The following is a 12,589-nucleotide window of genomic DNA, read 5'->3' on the forward strand; positions in this document are numbered from 1 at the left end:
TCTCTCTCTGTTTCCACCCAGACCCCTCCCTTTGTACCCATCTTCAACGGAGGCAGTGATTGGCTGGCCAGAACTGTGGGCGGGGCCTTTGGGGTCCAATCCTAGGAGGATCTGGGCCATTCATTGGCCCCTGTGGGAGGTGGGCGAGGTGGAGAAATGGGACCCCCAAGGAGGGAGGTGAGAAGCAGGACAAGTTGACAAATTCCGCAACTACGAATGCCCTCCACTTCCCTAGTGCTGGAGGACAGGGCTGAGCCCTCTGGCCATTCATTGATGCTCCCATGTCACACTGGTCATGCCTCTTGGTGGCCCGAAGTGGCCTGCCCCCAACAACTGCAGGTAGCCCCAGGACACAGGGAGCACCAGTCTGGCCTAGTGTCGCAAAGGCCTAGTGCCACAAAGACCACAGTGAGGCCAATTGGCACATGTGGACCACACAGAGGGGTGCTCTGCCTGTAGTGGCCAAGGTAGTAGTGGAGCCCAGGCCTTGGATGTTCCATTAGGAAGTCCCTAGAGTGCCCTGCGGGCATCCCCTGGCTTGGCAGCGTCTCAGTGTGGGTCCCCAGAAGCAGGCAGTGAGACAAGGACTCCAGTGAAAGTCATTTATGTGGGAGGCGAAGGAAACAGCAGCAGGGGAGTGGAGACATGAGACAGGCAAGGGAAGGCGCCAATAAGCAGCGCATCATCAAACCAGCTACCGCATCACACCAGCTACTGCATCACACCAGCTACCGCATCGCACCAGCTACTGTGTGGGTGACTGGAGCTGAATCCCACTGGGGAACCCAGGGAGACCATGGAGACACTTCTCAGGGTTGGTTACCCCTGGGAAGCAAGGAAGCAGGAGTATTGAAAAGCCCACTCTGGGCTGGGCACGGTGGCTCACACCTATAATCCTAGCACTTTGGGAGACAGAGGCAAGAGGATCGCTTGAGTCAAGGAGTTCAAGACCAGCCAGGGCAACAAAGAAGACCCTGTCTCTACAGTTTAAAAACATTAAAAATTAGCTGGATGTGGTAGTACATGCCTGTGGTCCCTGTTACTCAGGAGGCTGAGGTGGGAGGATCACTTGAGTCCAGGAGGTCAAGGTCGCAGTGGTTGCAGTGAGCCATGATCACATCACTGTACTCCAGCCTGGGTGACAGAGCGAGATCCTGTCAAAAAAAAAAAAAAAAAAAAAAGCCCCCATCATGGTCAGTTACTGCTCAAGGCTGCTTTGGGTGGTCATACCCCTGAACGTCCAGCCTGTGTGTGTTGGAGGGAAGACTCCATCCGCGGGACTTGTTGGAGCACACTGAAGTCACAAGCTTGAGAGATCTGGATTGGGTCGACAGTATCACTTCACTTATTTGGAAATTCAATTAACTAGAGTTATGTTCTCAGTAATTTCTACAAACCCGTGGGGCTAATGTAGGGTACCATGTCCCTTATCTGACCTTTGATTCCTCCACCCTTCTCCCAGCCCCTAGCTCCCCAACTCAAGCATCCCTTTGCTCCAAGGCACAGTGTCTCCAGGAGACACCTTGGAAGGAGATTCACTCTCGCCAAGGTTCCTCATCACTAGCAGGGGCCACCCAAAAGCCCAGCCCTAACTCCCATGAAGCAGAGAGAGCCCCTCCCAGCTATTCTGCCTGCCTCCTTGTTCCCTCTCCCCTCCCCTTTTTGGCCCCAGTGTCCTCTGAACTCACTCTGTCTGCTCCTGCATCACAGCCTCTGCATACGTTGGCCCCTTTTCTTAGAATGCATTCCCACCACTCCAGTTTCTGCCTGTTGAAAAGTTTCAACGTGCAATCAACAAAAATGTCTATTGAGAGTTAGGCACTGGGAATGGAACATTGACTCAACACCACACAGAACTTCCTTTTGGAGTTTGCACTCGGGTGGAAAAAGAAATCAGTCATCACACACATTTTTCTATACTCACAATACGGTAAATGCAATGAAGAAGGACAGGGAGACACAAACATATAGGGTTGGGGGGTGGTGGCTGGACTGGATCTGGGGTTTCCCAGGAGGTTTCTGGGGCAGTGATATCAAGCTGAGGCTTGAAAGGTGAGTGGGTGAGAGGTGGAAGGGAGCATCCCAGGCAGAAGGAACAACATGTTAGGCCCTGAGATGGACTCTGCATAGCTGGTGTGGCTGGAATTGAGAGAAGGCAAGCGGGCAGGGGGCAGAGTGGGCAGGGGCTGCAAATGGATCCTGAGAGATTTAGGAAGACAGGAAACATTTACATCTATCAAGCCGCCCTGCCTGGGAATTCTGAGAATGCCCTAGGCTTACCCTCAGCTCCCCTAAATGCAGCCCCCAAATCCTCCTTTAGGAGACTGTGCTGCTAATCTGTTCCAGAGACAGGCTTGGGACTCACTGCCCCCGGCACGCCAAAGGAGTCTCATACATTCTTCAAGGCCTAATTCAAGTTGCTCCTCTCTGAGAAGCTCTCTAAGCTGATTTCAGCTTAGAGAGCTTCTCCCACCTCCCAAGTCCTCCACCTCCGAAGTCCTCCTTAGCTCTTGGCTCTTTGGCATCTGAGAGCACTGGGACAGGGGTGAATATTCCTTAGTCTGCCGCTTGGGGCAGGGCAGCCCAGGCTCTTGCTCCAGGGACGGTGGACGATGCTGCCTGGTACCTGGCTGTGGGCAGGTGTGGGCCACCACCTCCAAGGACCCATCATTCCTGCCTGCTCCTCACACCTGGAGATCACAGGATATGTGGAATTGAAGCTTTTAGGGATCCATAAGGGACTTCATCCACAGACTTGCAGGGAATGATGGTGGGCTGGGGGAGGGGGTCATCCCCTTTTCTTGGTTTTTCCAAGGCTGGGGTGGTAGAAAGGAAAATGATTCCTGGCAAACCCGTGCTGCTGTCCCGTGCCTGCCTCCCAGGGCTGCTGAGAGGGTGGGAGATGCCTTCTATTGAGAACTCCCCACCCCCATCCCCAACCACTTTGCATTCTGGGGCAGGGGAGTGGGAGCCACTTGTCATTGTTCCTGTACGTTGGCTGGCAGGAGGCCCAGGGAGGGGGCTCCCCAATAGAAAATCTGCAGCTGCCTGTCTTTAAGGTAAAATTACCGTAATTACCCCAATTACTAAATCCATCAAGAGCTTTGGACCGGAGGCCTGGAGAACAATTGGGCCCTGATGGATCTGAGGAGTATGAGTCACGGGGGTGGGGGCACAAAGCACATGGGATGAAGGCGAGTGGGGGCGGCAGCTGATGTTAAACCAGGGGTGGGGATGGGGAAATGCAAAGAGATTATGATTAGCCAAGACCCCACTTTCCTCCTTCAGTGAGATTTTTCTTCTCTATTGGAAAGAAAAAAAATACCCCAAATTCTGTCTGCCTTTTCCTTTCACAGAACCCTGCACCTTGGGTGGGCGTTGTGACTCACGCCAGTAATCCTGGCACTTTGGGAAGCCGAGATGGAAGGATGGCTTGAGGCCTGGAGTTTGAGACCACCCTGGGCAACAAAGGGAGACCCCGCCTCTACAAGAAATTTAAAAATCAGCCGGCCATGGTGGTGCGTACCTGTAGTCCCAGCTACTCCGGAGGCTGAGGTGAGAGGATCACTAGAGCCCAGGAGTTCAAAGCTGCAGTGAGCTATGATCACACCACTGCACTCCAGCCTGGGTGACAGAACAGGACTCTGTCTCTAAAAAAAACACAAAAACAAAAGAACCCTATACTCTATGGCCACCTGACTTAGACCCGCTTTGACCTTTTATGAGAGCTAAAATGTAAAGAGTTGAGAGCAATGGCTAGCATCTCCTGGGTCCCAGCATGGACCAGGAACTATGGGAAGAGCTTTTCAGGCTTCCTCCCTTTCAATCCCATGAAGTGGGTTTCCTCCTGCTTCACAGACGTGGGTGCCCACATTTCCTCTTGGCCTGGGTTCTGAGCAGACCAGCCCCTGGGCCTGGTTGGCTTCTGTATTCCTCACCATGCTTGGTAAAGGAAGTGAAGGACAAGGTTGGCAGATTAGGTGGGCTACTGGGAAAAGCACCTTATAGGACATGTCCCCTCTTTTCATTTCTATTAGAACTTTACTACATTCAAAGAGTAGTTAAAACATTCAGATTCTTCCTCTCAGTTGATCTGGATTTGTAGCCTAAGGAAATAATCTCTAATTGTGGAAAGGCTATATCGTGAAGCTAATTCTTTCAGCATTGTTTATGCTGGCTGCACAATTTCACTTTAAGAGAAGATCCAGGCTGCTGATGCCTCTGTACTCCATTGCCAGGAGGAGTTATGTCTGCAGGACCCCAGGCATAGAAGAAAGAGATCCCCTTGGCTGAAGTAGACTTAGACCAGAATTGGGAGGCAGATCTGGGTTTCCACAGAAGTCATTGGGACCAAAGCCCCCACAAATTATAAAATTTAAGTATGACCTGGCTTGTCCCTGGTGCCTGTATCTCCAAGGTGACTTTGCAGGGCTTGTAGGTGTTGCTCCAAGATTTAGGATGTCAGGGTCCAGGCCAAATAGCTTCCTAACTCATCATAACTAATATGGTTAACATGGAAAATTGTGAAACAATTTAATGTCAAAACATAAGGGCCAGCGTGGTGGCTCATGCCTGTAATCCTAGCACTTTGGGAGGCTAGTAGGGAGAATGGCTTGAGCTCAGGAGTTTGAGACCAGCCTGGGCAACATAGTAAGACCTCGTCTCATCCAAATATCAAAAAGTTAGTCTGGCATGGTGGTGTGCACTCAGGAAGTGGAAGGAGGATCACTTGAATCCATGAGTTTGAGGATACAGTGAACTATAATTGTGCCACTGCACTCCAGCCTGGGTGACAGAACGAAACCCTACCTCAAAAAAGAAAAGAAAAGAAACGAAACGAAACATAGGGAGACTGGCTGAATAGATGAAGTTTTGTGCAGGCTTTTAAAATAATGAGTAAAAAGATTCCTTTGAAATCTGGGAAATTACAATAGAATGTTTATTGTCATGCTGGTTTTTTGTTTTTTGTTTTTTGTTTTTTGAGACAGGGTCTTGCTCTGTTGCCCAGGCTGGAGTACAGTGGAGCCTAGAGAAGGGCAGGAGAGCCCTTGACCATCACCCAGGCTGGCGCCAATCCTCAGGGGCTGAGCCACTCCCTCTAGAAGGCCTGGGCTCAGGAAATGCCCCTGAGTCAGAAACACTGTGGGACAATATTCCCTGACATTTTCCCAAAAAAGGGCCCTAAGGGAAGAGGAAAGTGCAGGTGAGCTTGGAGCAAACATGAACTCTACCCATTGGCTCATTCAATTATTCATTCATCCATTCAAAACACTATTCTTGCTATAATCCTAAACAAATTAACCCAGGAACGGAAGACCAAATACCTCATGTTCTCACTTATAAGTGGGAGCTAAGCGTTGAGCACACATGGGCATAAATATGGGAACAGTAGACACTGTGGCCTACTATGGGGGAGGGGGAGGGTGGGTTAAAAACTACCTATTGGGTACTATGCTCACTACCAGGGTGACAGGATCCATACTCCAAACCTCAGCATCACATAATACTCCCGTATAACAAACCTGCACATGTACTCCCTGAATGTATCTGAAATAAAAGTTGAAGGCTGGATGCCGTGGCTCATGCCTGTAATCTCAGCACTTTGGGAGGCCAAGGTGAGAGGATTGCTTGAACCCAGGAGTTTGAGACCAGCCTGGGCAACAGGACAAGACCCTGTCTCTACTAAAAATAAAAAATAAAAATAAATTAGCCAGGCGTGGCAGCATGTGCCAGTAGTCCCAGCTGCTTAGGAAGCTGATGTGGGAGGATCACTTGAGCCCAGGAGGTTGAGGCTGCAGTGAGCTATGATCGCGCTACTGCACTCCAGCCTGAGCTATAGAGCAAGACCTTGTCTCAAAAATTAATTAATTAATTAATTAAAATATGAGTTGACATTTCATTTAAAATCAAATGTTCTCATGGTGTCCTCTGTCTACAGCCCTGTGATGGGACCTGGGGATACTGCCATGAATGAGACAGAACTAGCTGCCATTCCAAGCTTCCAAGGCAGCCACACAAGTTGCTCTTTTGTGAAATTTTATGATTTCCTCTCAAATATTCACATGAATTTTACATTTTATTTTGTAATGTAGCCATGCTTGTTTTTGTAATTTTAAAATGATGTTTTCACAACAATATGCATGGACTTAATGCCACTACTGGATTGCACAGTCAAAAGGGCTAAAACAGCAAATGTTATGATATGTATATATGTGTGTGTGTGTATATATATATATATATATATATGTATTTTAGACAGAGTTTCGCTCTTGTTGCCCAAGCTGGAGTCCAATGGTGTGATCTCGGCTCACCGCAACCTGCACCTCCCAGGTTCAAGCGATTCTCCTGCCTCAGCCTCCAAGTAGCTGGGATTACAGGCGTGTGCCACCACGCCCAGCTAATTTTGTATTTTTAGTAGAGACGGAATTTCTCCATGTTGGTCAGGCTGGTCTCGAACTCCCGACCTCAGGTGATCTGTCTGCCTGGGCCTCTCAAAGTGCTGGGTTACAGGCATGAGCCACCGTGCCCGGCTGGTATGTATATTTTTATTGTGGTAAAATATACATACAAAAATCTTACAATTTTAACCATTTTCGAGTGCACAATTCAGTGGCATTAAGTCCATTCACATTGTTGTGCAACCGTGACCACCTCCAAAACTTTTTCCTCTTCCCAAACAGAAATTCTGTACCCATTAAACACGAATTCTGCATCCCTCCCTACACCCACCCCGGGAGCCATCATTGTACTTTCTGTTTCTCTATTTTTATTTTTTATTTTTTTGAGACAGGGTCTTGTTCTATTGCCCAAGCTGGAGTGCAGTGGTGCAATCTCGGCTCACTGCAACCTCCGCCTCCTGGGTTCAAGCAATTCTCCTGCCTCAGCCTCCCGAGTAGCTGGAATTACAGGTGTGTGCCACCACATCCAGCTAATTTTTTGTATTTTTGGCTATCATTCATTCATTCCACAAATATTGGCTGGTTATCTGCCATGTGCCAGGAACTCTACTAGATGATATGAAGATGAACAAAACTGGACAGAACCCCTGCCTTCATGCCCTTCCTGCCCACAGGGGAGGCAGGCATTGATCATGGCATCTCTGTCCTGTGGTACTAAAGGTCCAGCAGCCCATGCTGGGAGGCAGCATTTCAATCAGCAGTGGGGATTCTGCTTGGTGGGCTGGCCCAGATCCCAGTGTCCCATCACTTTTCTGAGCTCGGTTTTCTCATCTGTGAAATGGGAGTGATCACTCTCCCCATCCAACCTTTTGGTGTGGCAGGATGAGGTTCTCTGTTCCTCTCACCCTCTTCTTTCCTCCCTCCTCTGTGAGATCAGCAAAGGCAAATTCTCATCCCCATTTTGCAGATGAGTAGACTGAGGATCAGGGAGGCAGGGCAGAGTCTTCACCAGAATCTTTCCCAGGATGGTCCCTGTCCCTCACTAAGTCACTGGATCTGCTCTCCCCAGCCTGGGGGCACTGCCACCCCTCCAGCTGGGCTCCTACCGAGTGCCAGTCAATGTATCCTCGTGTCTGAGGGCAAAGACTAGAGGCCTGGCAGGACTCTCCCAGGGTATCTCCTTTTTACCTGTGTCCTCCCACCAGGCAGGGTTCCCTGGGCTCCAGCAGGTGCAGGCAGGAACCCCCCAGGGCACTTTACTTCCCCAGCCTTCAAAAGAGTTCTCTGCCTATGTTGTTTTCTGTCCAGTTGGAGCACAGGTCCCACAGTCACACAGACCAGGTCTTAGTTCTTTGCTGATCTGTGGGACCTTAGCTGGGGTTCTCTAAGTCTCATTGTCCTCACCTATAAAACCACTCCCTCTGGTTGATAAGGAAACTGTGCTCACCTGGTGGGACACTGCTGCATTCACCAACTCAGGCTGCCATAACAAAACACCATAGCCTGAGTGGCTTATGCAACAGAAATGCATTTCCTTCCAGTTGTGGAGGCTGGAAGTCCAAGGTCAAAGTGCCGGTAGGGCTGGTTTCTCCTGAGATCTCTTACCTGGGCTTGCAGATGTGTCTTCACATGGCTTTTTCTCTGTGTGCCTGCATTCCTGGCATCCTCCTCCTCTTATAAGGACACCCGTCCTATGAACCAGGGCCCAGCCCTTATGATGTTCCTTTTACCTAATTACCTCCTTAAAGGTCCTATCTCCAAATGCACTCACCTTGGGGGTTAGGGCTTCAACCTACAAATTCTGAGGGATTGAGGAAGACACAATTCAGTCCATAACTACTCAGCAATTAAAAGGAACAAGCCACTGATGAGCAAGAGAAGCCAGACACAAAACGTAGACATGTATGATTCCATTTATATGAAATGCTGGAAAAGTCAGAACGAATCTACAGTGACAGAAAGCACAGCTGTGGTTGCCTGGGGCTGCAGGAGGGGAGAATTCTTGGGACAATCCGTGGGAGAACTGACTCCAAAGGGTTCCAAGGGGGCTTTCTGGGGTTGATGAAAATGTTGCCTCTTGATTGTGGTGATGGTTGCATGGAAATATACATTTGTCAAAACTCATTGAACTGGATGCTGAAAATGAGTGTGTAAATTGTATGCATGTAAACTATACCTTGCTAAAATAAAATTTAAAACCCTACCTCAAAGGGTTAAAAAAATAAGACTCAAGTTAGGTGGTTGTTAGGAGTAAATGAGTTAATGCCTGCAAAGTGCTTAGCTTGGAGCCTGGCATGGTGTAAGTGTGCAAGTAAATGGTAACCATGGTAACCTGAAAACAAGACTTTTGCCCAGTAAGTGGGGCAAGAAAGAGAAATAAACACAGAAGGCAAGGGGTGGGGAGTGATGCTTCTCCCATGCCCAGAGCAGACAGGCAGGGGCTGTGATCTCAGCCTCCTGGAGTCATCGGGTCACTCTCCCGGCCCAGGCGAGGATTCCTATAATGCCTGTCAGCATCTTTTGGGCCCTGGGGGCAGCCAACTGCAACTTAGCCCCTGTTCAGCCCTGATCCTGTTTTTTTTTTTTTTTTCATTCATTCACTGAACATGCACATTGGACCACCTAGCACAACAAAAGACAATAATAGCTGCTTCTGTTTACTGAATGATCTTATGTGCTCAGTGCTTGACATTTTGGGCTGAACCAAATGAAAGAGCCAAGATTCCACCAGTTTTTACCCACAAAATGCCAGTTTACTGTGGTTCAACCTGATACATGATCTCTTTCATTGTTATGACAAATCTGAGAGTAGATATGATTATTTCCATTTTGTGGCTGAGAAGATGGAAATTCACAGAGGTGAAGTGCCTGGCCCAAGGTCACACAGCTGTGAGTAGCTGGATTTGAACACAGGTCTGACTCTGAATCCCGTATGTTACATGTTCCTTGCCCTTAAGGAGTACCGGTCTAGTGTAGGGATGAACACATTAAATACGGCCCCCGGGGTCTCGCCCACTCACCCCCTGAATCCCCCCAACAGGCTGCCCTCAGCTTTTCAGACACTGGACATGAGTGTTCTTGGTCTTCCAATGATGCCAAAGTCCTGCCGCCCTGCAAACAGCTCCTCTGCCCACCAGGACATCTTGCCTTCTCCGGACCTGCTTCTCCCCGGACCTCGGGGGTTGTGTGGTCAGTGCTGGCTGGTCCCTGGTGAAGCTGTACTTATGTGTCTCTGTTGCCCCAGGAGTTGCCCTCATTCTGCCCATCTTGTCCTCACTCCAAGCCCGCCCCTTCTTAAAGACTCCCTCTGAGTTCAGGTTCGTCTTTAATTCACAGCTCATTAGTAGATCAAAGAGGACAGAGACACCCTGAGTCTAAGGGACCCTCAGGCAGCCCCATCCTCACACTGTAACAAGGTGCCCCCTTGGCAGGAGACAAGGGGATCTCCCTGGCTGCTCTTTGTGAAGCAAGGAGAGGGGGCTGGGACCTGGCTCCAGGCTCCCCCATTTATAACAGGGCCAGAGGTTCAGCTGGCAGGGCTGAGGCAGAGGCATTGGAAAGCCGTCAGCCCCTCCTCCAGAGCCTGAGCAGGACAAGGACAGTTAATTCCTCTGGTGTTATCAGCTGGGCACAGGCTCTGGTTGCATAGCAACCCGGATTGCTCTCTGCCTCTAGTGTTCCAAAAAAAAAAAAAAAGCATTTTCTCCAACTCCATGAAATGGAATTGGGCCCAGGGCAGCCCAGGCTCCCTGCCCCCAAGTGTGGCTCATTTGTAGGAAGCTCCAACCCATGCCCTGCTGTGGGATCCCCACTCTTAAGGCCTTCATCCCCGTCTTGCCTCACCCATGCCAGGCTGGGGGTAGGAATTCACCCACCACCCTACTGCTGCAATGTGAAGCTGGGTCAGAAGTGAAGTCTCAGTTTGTCCAAGGGGATGCTGGACAGGCCTGGGATCTGGGTGAAAAGGCATGAACTGGGGGAGCCCAGCCAGTTCTGGCAATGCAGTTTACTTATTCATTCATTAAGAAATATTTATTGGGCACCTACTGGGTCCCATACCCGTAAACTCCCCAGATTTGGTGAGTTAAAGATGGCTGCCAACTCTTTGCCACTCCTTCCATGAAGAAGTGGAATCCAGGCCGGGCGCGATGGCTCATACCTGTAATCCCAGCACTTTGGGAGGCCGAGGCAGGCGGATCACGAGGTCAGGAGATCAAGACCATCCTGGCTAACACAGTGAAACCCTGTCTCTACTAAAAATACAAAAAATTAGCCAGGCGTGGTGGCGGGCGCCTGTAGTCCCAGCTACTTGGGAGGCTGAGGCAGGAGAATGGAATGAACCCAGGAGGTGGAGCTTGTAGTGAGCCGAGATAGCGCCACTGCAGTCCGGCCTGGGCGAAAGAGCGAGACTCCATCTCAAAAAAAAAAAAAAAAGAAAGAAAGGAAAAAGAAGTGGAATCCATTTCCCTTCCTCTTAAATTGGGGCTGGCTCTGTGGCTGGTCTGGCCAGTGGAATGTGACAGTAGTGACACCGTATAACTCTGAGACTGAGCCCTAAGAAATTAGCAGATTCTACCTTTGCGGCTTGAAATGCTCCTTCTTGGAACACCATCACCATGATGTGAAGAAGCCCAAGCAGCCACGTGGAGCGGCCCTCTTTAAGTCTGTATCATTTACCAGTTGCATGAGTAAAGCCATATAATACCATGTGAAGCAGAAGAATCCTCCAGCTGAACCCTGACCAGGTCCTTGACCCACAGAATCATGAGCAAATAAAACTATTCTCCCTTTAAGCTAGTAAGCTTTGAAGTAGCTTGTTATGAAATAATAGATAACCAAAACACCAGGAGAGCTTAGTTTTCCATTCATAGATTCTCAAATACCAACACATGTGGTTTAAGTACCTGATGTATGCTAGACCCTGTGCCCAGTTCCAAAGCAAAATGCCACTCACGCTGGGGAACTGGAGGCATCAGGAGACGGCACAGAGGCAGAGAGCAGAACCAAGAGCCCAGAGATAAGAGCAGACAATTAAATAGAAACCACCTATAATTAAAGGGGTCACAAAATAAGGTGGGGAAGGCAATTTTCATTGCTACTCAGACCACACAGTGTTGAATTCAGGTATCAACTCTGCATATTTGGAAATAGGTGCCTGGGCCACATGGGAGGGATTCTGAGGTGAAGTCTGAGCTCCGGGGTGATGGATTCATGGTGTCTACAGTAGTTGGGGAGAGGAGAATGCAGGTACCTGTCTCATGCCTGTGCTTCTTGAGCCCATGCTGTCCGCTGGCCTCTGTGACTAACTCTTCTGCACCTACTTAGACAAGGAGAGAGGCGGGAAAACAGGTTGTTCAGGCAGGCTTTGTGGGGGCTAGAGCAGAGAGGACCCCAGGCATGCATTCATACTTTTCAAACTGGAGTTATAGACCTCCTTATAAACCAGCAGGGCAGCTTCAGAGGGTTAGTTTTTAGTTTAGTTTAGTTTTGTTTTAAAATGTCTTCTAGTCAATTTAGTTCAAAATTCCATCATCTTGTTCTGTATTCCTGGGTCAGACTTTCACCTGGCTCTTTTTTTTTTTTTTTTTTGAGATAGAGTTTTGCTCTTGTTGCTCAGGCTGGAGGGCAATGGCGTGGTCTCAGCTCACTGCAACCTCCGCCTCCTGGGTTCAAGTGATTCTCCTGCCTCAGCCTACCAAGTAGCTGGGATTACAGGCACTCGCCATCACACCCGGCTAATTTTTGTATTTTTAGTAGAGATGGGGTTTCACCATGTTGGCCAGGCTGGTCTTGAACGCCTGACCTCAGGTGATCCGCCCGCCTCGGCCTCCCAAAGTGCTGGGATTACAGGCATGAGCCACCGTGCCCGGCCTCTTTTTAATACTGATGTCTGGGCTCTACCCACCCACCCGCTTCATGCTTGGGAGTCACTATTTTACAACTCCTCAGCTGATTCTAACATGCAGCCAGGGTTGAGAAAATAGCGCCTAACCCTTGGAGACACACAGCTGATAAAAGGAAAGTCTTCGTTCTCAAGAAACGTCTAGGTTTGGGGTGGGGAGTCGGGGGTAAGTAGGAGGCAGTTGTGTGCTGAAAACGTTTCTGTGTTCCAGGGAAAAAAGGCTTGATTTTTAGCATTTGCTGATTTTTGTGATATAGATACTTTCACTATGGCCGATTTCAAGCCACCA

The 12,589-nt window shown here is 49.3% G+C and overlaps 2 annotated features.

The window, feature by feature from the left end:
* Window positions 9,952–10,096: an enhancer, noted in NCBI's record as "145 bp enhancer 112/113 fragment used in the MPRA reporter construct; PK_construct_3170". NCBI's record gives its function as "activates an SV40 promoter by MPRA in K562 cells {active_cell/tissue: K562}" and the evidence as "EXISTENCE:reporter gene assay evidence [ECO:0000049][PMID:23512712]".
* Window positions 10,015–10,032: a transcriptional cis regulatory region, noted in NCBI's record as "GATA motif; enhancer activity is reduced when this motif is scrambled". NCBI's record gives its function as "necessary for full MPRA enhancer 112/113 activity {active_cell/tissue: K562}" and the evidence as "EXISTENCE:site-directed mutagenesis evidence [ECO:0005528][PMID:23512712]".

Source organism: Homo sapiens, chromosome 20 (genome assembly GCF_000001405.40).
Source record: "Homo sapiens chromosome 20, GRCh38.p14 Primary Assembly".
Lineage (NCBI taxonomy): Eukaryota > Metazoa > Chordata > Mammalia > Primates > Hominidae > Homo > Homo sapiens.